At 38.6% G+C, this 16266-nt stretch overlaps 1 annotated feature.

Moving 5' to 3' along the window:
- Positions 306 to 506: a silencer, noted in NCBI's record as "peak4584 fragment used in MPRA reporter construct". NCBI's record gives its function as "represses an SCP1 promoter by STARR-seq MPRAs in K562 erythroleukemia cells {active_cell/tissue: K562}" and the evidence as "EXISTENCE:reporter gene assay evidence [ECO:0000049][PMID:32103011]".

The following is a 16266-nucleotide window of genomic DNA, read 5'->3' as shown; positions in this document are numbered from 1 at the left end:
TTTGAAAAGAGCTCTGAACTGACTAGGAAGTCCCAGGTGGCACTTTTTTTGAACTTTGTGGGCGTGCCCGAGGCTTTCTTATAATCCAAGGAGTAATTCTGAGGCGAGCTGGTGGGGCCCTCTGTTGCAGCCTCTTACCTGCAATGGCAGTGTTTCCCACAGGCCCTCCTACTGCCCATTGCAGGGCTTCAAGGGAGGCAGGGTGCGTGTGGACAAATCCGTGGATTTCCTCAGATTTCATCAGAGATGACCAGGGTGCTGGAACTTCTCAGTTTGACCTTCTGTGACCAAAGTCTCCCACAGGACCAAGTTCTGTGATTTCTGATACTTAACAGATATCCCCAAATGCTGGAAAGGCCTCTCCTAAATCTCCTCAGTATCAAAATGGCAAAACCCTGAAAAGACTGCTTATCTCTGTTCTCAGGGACTTAGTCCCTCAGCTGAGCTGGGGGAACAACAGATTTCAGTAATCCATCATATTTGGCTTCTTCAAAACAAGATTCCATCCACTGAGACCAAAACCCTAGAGTATGCAGTAGCCTGGGTGAGTTTTCTGCAGGAAGGATGGAAAGTTTGGAGAGGATGAGATGCACATCTTTTAATAAAGGCCAAAACATTAAGTTGCAAATGAGAAACAAATAATTTTCTTTTAGTCAGGCACCAGCATTGGGTAAATATAGAAGGAGTGGTTTGAGGATTAGGTTTTCTTCTTTAGAAAATTACTGAAAAACTACTGAACATGGAGGCATGTGTAAGCCAGCAGAGCAAGCCATCTTGCAGTGGGATTTCCTCCGGGACATCAAGGTTTTGAGGTAACCTAGTGTAACAGATGCTTATGGAACACTCCCCCCACCATCTCTTTACTAGGCTGGTGTGCTCACCCCCAGCTACTGTGGGTGTTGGTTGCCAGCAGCTACTCCCTTCTCCAGAGAGGCTCTCTCTTTGGCTAACACTGCCATACCCAGTGACATTAGGTGGTTACACGTCCCATCCTACCTACCTCCACCAGGCAGCCTGTGGCCAATGACTGACTGTTACCAAGGGTACAAGAGCCCAAACTCCCTTGCTTCTGGGCAGGACAACTCCAGAGCTTACCCTAGGATGGGTGAGACTAGGTTCCATGCAAAACATTTTTACCTTGCCTTTTTTTTTTTTTTTTAGTATGCCTTACCCTGCTTCCCTTACTCCCCTACGAGTTTTATCTGAGAGCACACTCTCATTAAGTCACATGCACAAGAACCCCTGCTTCAGGCTCTGCCTCTGGAGAATGCAAACGAAGATACCTGGCTTATACAGAAGGCAGTGAGCTGATTGGCTTCCTTGTCAGAGGCACTGTAAAGGGGCTGCCTTCTTTTCTCTAGAATATAACTCTCTGAGTTGCCTGATTATAATCCCCTTAGAGTTAAAAAAAATCTTAACTGCCTATGCTCTTGATTTCAGTTGGACTTTTTCTTTAAAAATGCTTAGTCAGTGTGCCATAGAATTCTTAGAAGTTTTCTACTAATTAGAAAGTGACTCTCCTCCTCCTAACACACTTACACAATTATCTAACTACTCTAGAATATTATAATTTAGATTTCCATTCCATGTGTTTCAATTCTTTTTGCCAAAATCATGACTTTGAAACTCTTGAGTTTCCTGTTGGAGCTAATTATCTGCAAGTATATTAAAATGTCCTTTTCTTTCCAAAAACATCTATCCATATAAACATTCCAAAAACTGAAAGCTTTTTATTTAATTTTTCAAGGTTTTCATTCTGAGTGGTTTAATTTAATGCCAGCAGGAGGGAGCTGGGACACATGAATGGAGAGTCATGGTAGAGATGTGTAAGAACTCAAGGGGCAATAGCTTTCTCCAGTATTTTTTGCCTCCTCTGTATTATTGACTCCTAGTCAAAATGGAATGTCAAATGTTGGATTCTGCAGAAGCATACCATGAGATAAGGGTACGTATGCAAAGGATTTATCAAGGAAGTATGAGGAGAAACTAGTAAGGGAGGTGGGGAAGACCAGGGATGGGGAAGAAGCTAAGCCAGACAGTAGTATAGGGAAATCCCACAGAGGGCAGCTTCAGCGGGACACTCAGGGGAGCTCAACAGTGTCAAGGACACCCTGAAGTGGTTTCTACAGGAAGGAAGAGACAGGGCTTTTGTTCTCCCTCACCCAGTGGTCACTGTTCAAAGGCCCCACAGCAAGAAAGAGGTGGGAACAGGTATTTCTGTTCTTTTTCTGTTTGGGCAAAACAGCTCCAGCGGCCCAAGATTAGTCATCCACAGATAGTCATGGGTGTAGCCTGTTCCCAGCCAAATCAAATGGAAGCTGGGAAAGGGACACAAAGAACAGTAAAAGGGACTCCAGGGGATGTAGGTGAAACACTGACAGAGTCCACTACAAGTGGTTAACAGAAGAAAAATGTGCAGTGGGTAGGTGTTTGATCCAAGCACATCTAGATTTGAGTCATTCAGGTCAAAGACTGTGGTCCAAGCTGCACTTCAGCTACAACATTTGCTACTCTCAGATATCCCATCCCACCCTGGCTACTGTGTGGTGGTGGTGGCTGGATTCCTACTTGGGGCCTCCTTTGGAGCCTATTGTCAGACAGCTGTCAGGTAATCTGGTTTCTGCACTGTCAGTTGGAGTGGGACAAATCAGACCTATCATAGGCATAAATGTTCATAATTGTGGGTGTGGATATGAATATGTCCGAACTGCTGAAGATTCCTGAAGCTGTGGACTAAAGTAGCAAAGCCAGTAGATAATCTGCTGGAAGTGCCTTAGGGCCTAATAGTCTAGGTATAACCAGCAAGCAAAGCAGGTGCACAGCTCTGGAAGAAGATAGCCTGTTACCTCCCCTGGATCTCAGTGGAAAGGTGCTCAGAGGATCTGTCTGGCTCTCCAGGCAAGTGAGCACATATTAGAGAGTATAGAGTGGCTCTGGCACCATGAAAAGGGAAAATTGGAAATAAAACCACATATAAGAGGTGGCTGATGGGCCCTTTTTCTTTGTTCCAGAATGTTGCCTATGGACCAAGGCTAAAAACAAGAATGTTCTACATTCTGAAAAGAATGACTAAGGAGTGACATATGGGACCTCCCTTAGTTCCTTCCTGTTGCTATAAAAGGTGCCTCACTTGATCTTAGCCAAAAGGCTGATAAGTGATAACAAAATATCTTAGACTGAATAACTTATAAATAATAGAAATTTATTTTTTATGGTTTATCAAGAACAAGGTGCTGGTAGATTCAATATCTGGTAAGACTTGCTCTCTGCTTCCAAGATGGTGCCTTGCTTATGTGCCTGTATTAGTCCATTTTCACACTGCTAATAAAGACACTCCTGAGTCTGGGAAGAAAAAGAGGTTTAATTGGACTTACAGTTTCACATGCTGGGGAGCCCTCAGAATCATGGCGGGAGGTGAAAGGTACTTCTTTCATGGTGGTGGCAAGAGAAAATGAGGAAGAAGAAAAAGTGAAAACCCCTGATAAACCCATAAGATCTAGTGAGACTTATTCACTATCCTGATAATAGCACAGGAAAGACTGGGCCCCATGACTCAATTACCTACCCCTGTGTCCCTCCCACAACAAATGGAAATTCTGGGAGATACAATTCAATTTAAGATTTGGGTGGGGACACAGCCAAACCATATCAGTGTCCTCCAGAGAGGGAAGTACAAAATGAAATGACATGGCGTAGAATGCTGAAATGACAGAGAATTCAGAATCTAGTTGGCAATGAAGATCATCAAGATCCAAGGAATTTAAGGAAATCCAATAAAATACAAGAGCTGACAGACAATATAGCTATTTTAAGAAAGAAGAAAACTGATCTTCCAGAGCTGAAAAACTAAAAACAAGAATTTTATAATACAATTGAAAGTATTAACAACAGAATAGACCAAGCTGAGGTTTAATCTCAGAACCCAAAGACCAGTTATTTAAATCAACTCAGTCAAAAAAATAATAAAATAAAGAGAAAATAATTTTAAAAATTAAATAAAACCTCCTAGAAATATGGGATTATGTAGAGACCAAACCTATGACTCACTGACATCCCAGAAAGAGAATGAGAGACAGCAAGCAACTTGGAAAGCATATATGTGGATATTCTCCGTGAAAACGTCCCCAATTTTGCTAGAGAAGTTGACAAGCAAATTCAGGAACTTCAGAGAACCAGAGAATCTCAGCGAGATATTATACAAGACAGACATCCCCAAGACACGTAGTCATCAGATTCTCCAAGGTCAACGTGAAAGAAAAAATATTAAAGGCAGCTAGTGAGAAGGGTAGGCCACATACAAAGGGAACCCCATCAGGTTAACAGCAAGATGTTCAGCAGAAACTTAATACACCAGAGGAGATTGGGGGCCTACATTCAGCATTCTTAAAGAAAAGAAATTCCAACCAAGAATTTCAAATCCAGCCAAATAAAGCTTTATAAGTGAAGGAGAAATAAAATCCTTTGCAGGCAAGCAAACATTAAAGGAATTCATTACCACCAGACCTGCCTTACAAGAGGCCCTTAAGGGAGTGCTAAACATGAAGGAAAGATCATTATCTGCCACCACAAAAACACATTTAAGTACATAGCCCACTGACGTGCTAAAGCAACTATACAACCAAGTCTACATAACAACCAGTTAACAACACAATGACAGGATCAAATCCTCAGATATCAAATATTAACCTTGAATGTAAATAGGCCAAATGCCCCACTTAAAAGGCACAGAGTGGCAAGTTAAGAAGCAAGGCCCAATGTTGTCTTCAGAAGATCCATCTCACATGAAATGACACCCATAGGCTCAAAGTAAAGGGATGGAGAAAGATCTATCAAGCAATAGAAAACAGAAAAGAACAGGGGTTGCTATTTTTATTTCAGATAAAACAGACTTTAAACCAACAATGATCAAAGGAGACAAAGAAAGGCATTACATAATGATAAAGGATTCAATTCAACGAGAAGACTTAACTGTTCTAAATATATATGAACTCAACACTGGAGAACCCAGATTCATAAAACAAGTTCTTAGAGATATACAAAGAGACTTACATAACTGTATCATAATGGTGGGAGACTTCAACACCTCACTGACAGTGTTAGACAGATAATTGAGGCCGAAAACCAGCAAAGATATTTGGGACCTAAACTCAACACTTGACCAAATGAACCTAATTGACATCTGCAGAACACTCCACCCAACAACAATAGAATATACACTCTAAGATCAACCACACATTTGGTCATAAAGCAATTCTTAACAAATTCAGAAAAACTAAATTCACACCAACCACACCATAAAAAAAGAGCAAATTAATACCCAGAAGATCTCTCAAAATCATACAATTACATGGAAATTAAACAACCTGTTTTTGAATGACTTTGGAGTAAAGAAAGAAATTAAGACAGAGATCAAGAAATTCTTTGAAACTAATGAAAACAAAGATACAAAATACCAGAATCTCTGGGACACAGCTAAAGCAGTGTTAAGAGGAAAGTTTATTGTGCTAAACACTTAAATCGAAATGTTAGAAAGATCTCAAATCAACAATATTATACCTAGAGGAAGTAGAAAAATAAAAGCAAACCAACTCCAAAGCTAGCAGAAGAAAAGAAATAACCAATATCAGAGCTGAACTGAATAGAATTGAGACATGCAAATTCATACAAAAGACTAATGAAACCAAAAGTTGGTTATTTGAAATAATAAATAAAAGTGATAGACCACTAGCTAGACTAGCAAAAAAGATAGAAGATTCAAATAAACACAATTAAAATTGAAAAAGAAGGCATTACCACCAACCCCACAGAAATAGAAAAACCCTCAGAGACCATGATGAACACCTCTATGCACACAAACTAGAAAATCTAGAAGAAATGGATAAACTCTTAGAAACATGTAACCTCCCAAGACTGAACCAGGAAGAAATTGAATACCTGAATAGACCAATAATAACTTCTGAAATTGAATCAGTAATAAGAAACCTACCTCCACATCACTAATCATCAGAGAAATACAAATCAAAACTACAAGGAGATACTATCTTTTATGAGACAGAATGGCTAACATTAAAAGAACCAAAAAATAACATGCTGGCAAGATTGTGGAGAAAAGGAAATCCTCAAACACTGCTGGTGAGAATGTAAATTAGTTCAGCTACTGTAAAGCAATTTAAGATTTCTCAAAGAACTTAGAACTACTATTCAACCTAGCAATCCCATTACTGGATATATACCCAAAGGAATATAAATCATTCTACCAAAAAGACATATGTACACGTATGTTAATTGCAGCACTTTTCTCGATAGCAAAAACATGAAATTAACCTAGATGTTCATCAGTAGTGGACCGAATAAAATTTGGTACATATATACCATGGAATACTATGAAGCCATAAAAAAGAATGAGATGATGTTCTTTGCAGTAACAAGGATGCAGCTGGAACCCCTTGTTCTAATAAAATTAACACAGGAACAGAAAACCAAATACATGTTCTTACTTATAAATGGGGGCTAAACATTGAGTACACATGGACACAAAGAGGGAAAAAATAGACACTGGGGCTTACTTGAGAAAAGAGGGTGGGAGGAAAAAAAACTTCCTATTGGTTACTATGCTCACTACCTGGGCAATGACATCATTTGTACACCAAACCCCAGCACCCCACATTATACTCATGTAACAAACCTGCACATGTACCTCCTGAACCTAAAAGAAGAGCGGAAAGAAAAAAAAAAGAATAAAAAAGTAGTCATTCAATAAGAACTTCTCACGCAATATTTAGGGCATACTTATACTAAAAATTGATGTTTTTAAAATCTGAAATTTAAATTTAACTTAGAGTCCTGTACTTTGGCAATCCCAGACCCAACACTTCCAACCCAGAGCTTATCAACTGCAGCAGAGGTATCTCTGCTTCTAACTGTTAGCTCACTGTCCCTCCTGTCTACATAATGAAAATATTGGGGTATGAGATGGCCATTGTCAGCAGTCTTGTGGGAAGCCCACTGTGGAGAGAGTTTTTTTCCTCCCTTCCATGCATAGGAGGAAATGAGGGTTGCATTTTCCGGTTGATAGGAAGGAAGACGTAAAGTCCTTGAGAGCATTTGTAAGACTGGAGGTATCTGCTCTGCAAGAAGTAGAGATTTTAATTTTTATGTCAGATTTCTGCTTGGGCACTGATCCTGCTGATTGGCCCCTGTGCATCGAGCAGCGAGAAAGAGAGTGAGGAAAAGAGCGAGGAAACAGAGGGAAGGAAGGCAGAGAAGCTTACTGTACTCCCATCATTTGGCTTGGCAAAGATGAGCCTGTTGGTCAAGGGGATGCGGAACAAGGAAGCTGAGCTTATGCTAGTCCTCTGATGTATTGCCCCAGAGGGATGCCTTCTAGATGAGGGTATCCTAGCAGCAGAGATCATGGGGAGCACACTGGAAAAGGCTGTGGTGCTGGGGGGCTGTGGAAGGGTGGAAATGGAGCTGGATGCCTACTTCAGGAAACGATGGTGTAGAGAGAAATGTCAAGCCTCTGTGAAGTACCCACCCATGTTCTTGTAAGCACCTGGAAGACTGACACAGGATCTTGAGGTATCCAAGGCTAAAGGTGAAGGCCAGAGGAGGAGGCAAAGTCGATAAGAAGAGCCAGTCTTGCTTAGGTGGCCAAGTAAATGATGTTTCTGCTCTGGAGAAGCTCAGAAGATGTGGAGTCACAGAGGGAGGGAGGGGTGTATGCAAAGCAGTCACATTTCTCTGCCCACTCTGTGCCTTCAGCCACAGGTCTAGTGGGTATGTAGTGCAGAGAGCTTTGAAGTGAACACAAGATTGAAATTAAAAACTGGTCCAGACTTATCTTGATAATGAATATCGATGAAATAATTTGGAATTTCCCCAAGATGACGTTAAGAGATAGCAAATGTGGGCTTGATAGAGATAAAAGTGAAAAGGGGATAAAATGGACCTTCTTTATGTCTATACTCTGATGAAAAAAGTGCTCAATAAACCATGTCTATCGAGCAAAATGGAATCCAAGAAGGGCAGAATTCCCTTGATGATGTGACGGCTGATGCTGCCATATCTGCTCCCCATGGTGGCAGATGCGATGTGCATGCCGTTGCCTGCCCAGTCTACCTGGTGAGAGGGTGAGAGGGTGAGGTGGAGAGGTACCCATGATGTGTAAGAGCCACCCCGAGAATTCTCTCTACAGAAGATTTGCAGCCGAGCCTGCACCCAAACAGTGAAGGGAGCCCCCTGAACCCCTCAGACTGAAATGGGATCTAAACAAGTGAATTTGAGGCCAGGCACCATGGCTTATTCCTGTAATCCTTGCACTTTGGGACCAAGGCAGGAGGATTGCTTGAGCCCAGAAATTCGAGACCAACCTGGACAACATAGTGAGATTTTGTTTCTACAAAAATGATAATAATAATAATAATTTGAAAGTGAGTGAATAACAACTGGATGAATGTGGGGATTTTTAAATGAAGTTACAAATGGTATGTTATAACCAATGGAAAGTTTAAGTTCGTGAGCTACACTAGTTATTATTTAAATCATCTCTCTTTGATACTGGAATTCTTCCTGCTTACCTTTAACATGGATATGAGCGCATGCACATACAAATATATTCACATAAAAATGGTGTTAGTGTGATAGATTCTGCTATTCTCTTCCAGTTCCGATTGCGTTAGGAATAAAAGTTCCTTGGTGAAAACTTAGCCGACAGTTGTGCTGATGACGTATGAGACAAGGTTGGACCTCATTCACATTTCCACATTTGCATTTGCCCTGCAGGGCTTAGTGTGGTAAAAACTTGCATATGTCAGTGAAATGAGAAACCCTGACTCACAGGTTGCTGCTTGGAAGCGGATCTGATAAAGACAGCCAGCCCCATTTTTCCATAGTCAATTCCAGCTGGCAATTCTTGCTCTAAGCACTGCTTTCTTCATCCCCCTTTCACTGTATCAGACATAATGCATTGCTTTTCTTGCTGCAGAGGTGTGTCAGAAGTATTTTTCCAGTTTGCTAATCCATGATTTTTTTAAATGATGGATAATAATGTTCCCATTGATCTTGCAAATCAGAGTTTGCAATAACCAGTTCTTTCCCATGTACCATTATGGCTACAGTCAAAATGGACTATCACAAGTTTGCAAAGTTTGAAGGCAAGAGGCAGTATTATAAAATCACAGTTATATTAAGTTGTATTGAGAATCGAGGTTGAAAGCAAGGTTAGGAAAATTCTCTCATTTTTTTCCTTGGCTGGCATTATTAGGTACGGTGTTTTCAGGAGAGGATTATTGTTAAATAACTTTTATCTTTTGTAGCTTTGCAACCTTGAGAAAATTATTTAACCTCTTTGCACCTTAACTGCATCATATTTAATGAGGATAATAATAGTATCTACCTCTAAAAGCTGGTGTGAAGATTAAATGACATTTTATATGTCTATATCTAGGTATAGGCATAAGTCTAGACAATAATACAATATAGGTATCTTAGCTGTGTTCCTAGCACATAGAAAACTCTCAACAAATGTTATTATTACTATTTCTGCTACTATTATTATGATCAATTTTCAAGATAGTAAGATTTAGTATGGCATAGTAGAAAGAGTACACGTAGGTTTTAGAGAAAGTGAATTCTCAAGTCACAGCTTTGCCATGCACCATGAGAACTTGAAAAAGAGGATGACCTCTCTTAGTTATCATATCACCAAATGGGCAAAATCATACTGCTGGTATAGGATTTTCATTAAGGAGAGTGAAGGCTGAATAAGATCATGTTTATAAAGTGCCTTGCACCTATTTGTTAGCTCCTTCCCATTTTCAGAGGCCAGTGAAAGACCCTGAGTTTTGCATCTTTACACCAAATTTCTTTGTCCTAACACATTTCACTCATCTTCCCTCAATCTGAGGAGATAAAACATGATTTCCCGGTACCCAATCATAACTAATCCTTCTCTGGAAGGATTAATACATGAATAGCACTCAAACCATCAAGTTAAAGTGACTCATTTTTGTTCTCTGGGACCAGCTGAGTCTAGGTAATTAATTTAGTGAACATTATGTGCCCAGTGAACATGTGACAGCAATTCTGTTTTTCCTCTCTGAACCTTCTGCTGGAATGGGGCAGTTCAGTCCAAGGTCTCAACCAACCTCCACAAGGTTTGACATTAGGGACCTTAGGACACACTTGGGATACTGGGTGGGTAAGAATCTCAGCCATATTCTCTGCTAGAAGATCCCTGGGCAGGTGAAGGGGAGTTACAATCTTAGTGGTCCTCTACCTTGGCTATACATTGGGATCACTTAGGGACCTTTGAAAAATCTCCATGCCCAGGCTGCACCTCAGTACAATACAATCAGAATTTTAAAAAGCTATCCAGGTGAGATTTTTAAAATTTATTATTTTTATTTTTTAGAGACAAGGTCTCCCTCTGTTGTCCAGGTGGAGTGTGTTGGCCTCATCACAGCTCACAGCAACCTCAAACTCTTGGGCTTAAATAATCCTTCTGCCTCAGCCTCCCAAGTAGATGGGCCTACAGGCACAAACCAGCATGTCCAGATACTTTAAAAAATTCGTTTAACTTCACTCAGCTGACCTTCACTCAGCAGGGAAATGCTTTTTGTAAATGAATGCTCCTTTAATGGAACTTCATAATTATATCTATTTAACATGTGATAATTGTTTTTGCTTTGCTATCAACCTGCTTTTATACTTTTAATAAATTTTATTGAGGCATTAATTTACATAGAATAAAATGCATCTATTTTAAATGTATAGTTCAATGAATTTTGACAAAGAAACACACTCCTGTAACCACTACAATCAAGACATAAAACATTTCTATCATACCTGAAAGTTCTCTTGTGCCCCTAATATGGTTTGGCTGTGTTCCCACCCAAAATCTCATTTTGGGTTGTAATCCTCATAATCCCCATAATCCCCATGTGTCAAGGGTGGGACCAGGTGGAGGTAATTGGACCATGGGGGCAGCTTTCCTCATGCTCTTCTTGTGACAGTGAGTGAGTCTCACAAGATCTGATGGTTTTATGAGCATCTGGCATTTCCCCTGCTTGCACTCACTCCATCCTGTGAGGAAGATGCCTGCTTCTCCTTTGCCTTCTGCCACGATTGTAAGTTTTGTGAGGCCTCCTAAATAACACGGAACTGTGAGACAATTAAACCTCTTTCCCTTATAAATTACACAGTAGTTCTTCATAGCAGTGTGAGAAAAGGCTAATACAGCCCTTTTGCAATCAGCCTTCCCTCTATCCCTCAACCCCCTGACTCAGGTAAACAGTGATCTTTTTTCTGTCATCACAGACTAGTTTTCCTTATAGTAGAACTTCATATAAGTGGGTCATAATGTAAGTATTTTTTTGTGTCTACCTTCTTTTGCTAAGCATGTTTTTTGATATTTGCCTATTCTGTTGTATGTTTCAATAGTTTATTCTTTGAATTGTGAAGTTGTAATCCATTCTATGAATGTATCAGAATTTATTTATCCATTCACCTTTTGATGGACATTTATCAACCTAATTTTAGTACCTTTTTTATTATAATTTTCTCTCTACTTTTCCTCTTACAGCTATTTTATAGTGAAAACAGAGAAGGTGATCTTTCATCAGAACCAGCATTTTTCTATGAATTCCTGAAATGAGTTCAAGCAAAGTACTTAGAGGTGATTGGGCAAATGGTCAAATTACTCTCCTTGGTATAAAGTGGAGTTACACAGCCATACCATCTGTTTCATGAACTCTCAGTGCCACTGGGTTTGTGAAGTCACAGACATTGCTTGCTCTAGGCTATTTCATTGATTCTTGGTTGCTATTTATCTCATTATAGTCAAGCTCAGTTATTCACCAAGAGTTAAAGTGACTCATTTCATACTCTTTGGTCTCCTGAACTTAACTTTTGTGTTTAATGATGTAACAACAAAATAATGGACAAATTCAACACTGTAGCTGTTTCATAAACCCCTTAAAATATCTGTAAGTTGCCAATTATTCCTTAGAGGTAGTTTTGAAAAGGAGGCTTGCAATACACAAACACATGCACACACGTGTATATATTATATATGTGTATGTGGGAAAATATATACATGCATGTCTATATGAAAATACTTTTATACATACATATATGTATATATGTTATCTATATATAAATATGTATACTTTCATTTTAGAAAGTATAGATTTTGCTATACCAACAAAAATTCCTTTTAACATTATTTTTGCTGGCTGCATATTAATCTTTTGAGTGGATATACCATAATTAACTTAATTTTTCTTCTATAAATACACTTTTAGGTTGTTTCTATTTTTTTCTAATATAAAATGCTCCAAAGAATGTAGGGGGACACAAACATTTTTATGTAATGCTTTCTTTAACTACTGTTTTTTGATTTTAAAAAAATTATACTATGACTTTGAGTTCTTTTTCCTTTCCCTCTACAGTCAATACATATCTATTCTAGGTCACTGATATAAATATACATTTCTAGAAAGTTTTCTCATGTGTAGGAACTCTGGATCAAATTCACTGGCCTTTCATTACTCTTGGACTTAATGTTACAAAGACTTTTCAACTTCCTTAGCAAGCGTTTTGCCATCAAGGCAAAACTCATCAATGTTAAGGGTAATATCCTGTATCACAAATCTCAATGCTGCTCAAAGGGGCCATGGTACAACAGAAGGTGAAATTTGATGATAGAAAAACTCAGCATTCTAGAAAAATCTGCAATGATATCCAATAACAAATGATTTTTATTCTATAAAATTTCAAATATCTGGTCATTTTGTTGTAGTGGGTGAATTCATTTTACCCGTATTATTTACAAAATTAAAAGATCAGCATTTGCCTTACAGTATTAAATAACCAGGAGCTTTAAATCAATGCACAGGATATTTATGTTCCTGGTATTAGCTGGGTCATGGACAGATTTTCCAATGATAATTTAAATTTATTCCCAAATCTTATTCAGTTGCTTTCAGCAGAATTTTCCTGAAGGTCTCAGCAGGTGGAGACAATCTCTGGGTCACAAGTGCATTTGTACACAGTGGTTACGGCCTAGGGAAAAAATTCTCAGGCACTGATCAAGGTAACACAGCCTCATTTTTTTTCCCCTAATAAATTGTAGTGTATCCTTACATCCTTTCTTTTTTTATCACATTCTTTGCTGGTAGGGTCAGTAATGTAGATATAGGGAGAAATGTAGGTCCAGTAGCCAGGAAGTTACTAGAAATATTTATATTTTGGTATGCAATTATAAGGTATGGGATGCAAGAAAATTAAACTTGCTTCCCAGGTTCAAAAATGACCCTTTGGATACAAAAATTATGGGCAATTCCTGCAAGGCGACTGCTAGAGAAGACAATATTTTAATTGTGTATATAAATTAACATAAGTCATAGATTTGTAACCACCCAATGGGTTCAACTTGCCTGCTGCCTAGACAGAGCCAATTTATCAAGACAGGGAATTGCAATGGAGGAAGAGTAATTCATGTAGAGCCGGCTGTGTGAGAAACCAGATTTTTATTATTACTCAAATCGGTCTCCCCAAGCATTCGGGCGATCAGAGTTTTTAAAGATAATTTGGCAAGTAGGAGCTTCGGAAGTGGGGAGTGCTGATTGGTCAGGGTTGGAGATGGAAACATAAGGGGGTTGAGGTGAGTTTTTTTGCTGCTTTCTGTTCCTGGGTGTGATGGCAGAACAGGTTGAGCCAGATTACCCGTCTGGGTGGTATCAGCTAATCAATTGAGGGCAGGGTCTGCAAAATATCTCAAGCACTGATCTTAGGTTTTACAATCGTGATGTTTTCCCCCAGGAGCAATCTGGGGAGGTTTAGACTCTTGGAGCCAGAAGCTGCATGACCCCTAAACTTGTAGCTAATTTGTTAGTCCTGCAAAGGCATACTGATCCCCAGCAAGAAGGACATCTTTTTGGAAAAGGGCTATTATCAAGTTTGTTTCAGAGTCAAACCATGACCTGAATTCCTTCCCAAAGTTAGTTCAGCCTATGCCCAGGAATGAACGAGGACAGCTTAAATGTCAAAAGCAAAATGGAGTCGGTTAGGTCTGATTTCTTTCACTGTCATAATTTTCTCTGTTATAATTTTGCAAAGCCAGTTTCAGATTCCTCCTCAAGAAGTGCACAGTTGGAAGAAACCTGAAGAATCATAGCAAGGCTTTGGGACCTGAACAAAAATATAATGAGTCAGACACACACAATACACTGAAGGCCTTGAAATCTAAACTGACATTGAAACCACCATCCACAAAAGATGAGGAAGAACCTGCAGTCTGACCCTAACCAAGCTGATTGCTTGCTGTAACAACAACAGAACCCCTGCAATCTCTTGAGGATACTAATAGAGCCCATAGGCTCACAACATAATATTCAAAATGTCCTGAGTAGAATGCAGTCAAAAATTATTCAACAAAATGAGCCAGGAAGAACAACCAAATTTTTTCTTAAAAGTATAAGCAGATGTCAAACATAAAATTACTCAGATGTTAGAATTATAAAAGACTTTAAAACAGTTATTATAACCAAACTCAATGGGATAAAAGAGAACACTCTTGAAATGAATGGAAAGATAAAAAGTTTTCAGCACAAAATAAGAAACTACAAAAAGAACAAGATATAAATTTGAGAAAAAAATTATAATATTCGAAACCAAAATTTACTGAGTGAAATTAATATTAGAGTGAAGATAGATAAGTCAGTGAACTTAAAGATATATTAATAGAAATAATCAAATTTGGACAACAGAGAGATTAATCTTTTAAAAAATTAATAAGGCCTCAGGACCCTGTTGAGCAACATGGAATGGTCTGCTATTCATGCTATTGGGGTTCCAGAAAATAAGAGAATGAGATTTTTGCAGAAAAGTAGTTGAAGAAATATTATCTGGGTTGAAGAAATATTATCCTGAATTTGGTTCAAGACATAAAATTACAGTATCAAGAAGGTCAGTTAATCCCAAACAGGTAAAATTCAAAGAAAACCACCCACCACTACTTGAATTACTATGGATTTCTCATCAGAAACCACGGAGGACAGAAAACAATGGAACAGCATATTTAAAATGATGAAAGAAAAGAACTGTTACCAATATTTACATACTCAGTGGAGATGTCCTTGAAGGATAAAGGCAAAGTAAAGACATTTTCAAATGAAGAGAAAAGCAAACAAATGTGTTACCATTAGACCCACTCTAAAAGAAAAGCTAGATGAAACTCTTTAAACTGAAAGGAAATAATACAGAGGAAAACTTGGAATTTCAGAAATGAAAGAAGAGCAAAAAAAGCAGTAAATATCTAGGGAAATATAACTTTTTATTTCTCCCCTAAGTTTTAAATAATACACATGACTATTAGTAGCAAATATTATAACATTATCTGGTTGATTTTCTATGTATACAGATGCAATACATATGACAAGTGAAATATGCAAGACAGAGTGCAAAATGGCCTATAGATTTGTCAGGATTCTCTATTTTATAAAAGCTGTAAAACATTAACTCTAAATTTACTATGAAAAAAATGCATGTATATTTAAATCATCAAAACAACCATAAAAAATAATTCAAAGAGATGTAGTCAAAGAGTCAATAGGTCAACCAAAATTAAATATTAAAAGATATTAAAATGGGCTGGGTGTGGTGGCTCACACCTGTAATCCCAGCACTTTGGGAGGCTGAGGCGGGCAGATCACAAGGTGAAGACCACCCTGCTAACATGGTGAAACCCCGTCTCTACTAAAAATATAAAAAATTAGCCGGGCGTGGTGGCAGGCGCCTGTAGTCCCAGCTACTTGGGAGGTTGAGGCAGGAGAATGGCGTGAACCCAGGAGGTGGAGCCTTGCAGTGAGCAGAGATCACGCCACTGCACTCCAGCCTGGGCGACAGAGTGAGACTCCATCTCAAAAAATAAAATAAAATAAAATAAAAAGATATTAAAATGATCTAAAGGAAGGCAAGAAAAGAAAAACAGAAAAAAAATGAGGTAAACAAAGATAAATAAAATGTTAGCTCTAAATCAAATTATATCAGTGATTACATTAAATGGTCTAAACACACTAATAGACAGTGATTGTTGGATTCTATAAATAAGCAAGCAAGCAAACAAAACACACAAGACCCAGCTTAGCTGTCCACAAATGTTCTATTTTAAATATAATAATAAAAGTAGGTTAAAAGTAAATAATGAACAAAATTTACTAGGCAAACATTAATCACACTAAAACTAGAGTGGCTATGTGAATA

The sequence above is a fragment of the Homo sapiens genome, chromosome 3, assembly GCF_000001405.40.
Source record: "Homo sapiens chromosome 3, GRCh38.p14 Primary Assembly".
Classification (NCBI taxonomy): domain Eukaryota; kingdom Metazoa; phylum Chordata; class Mammalia; order Primates; family Hominidae; genus Homo; species Homo sapiens.
Note: the sequence above shows the minus strand (reverse complement) of the source record. Positions and strands in the feature narration are given on the sequence as shown.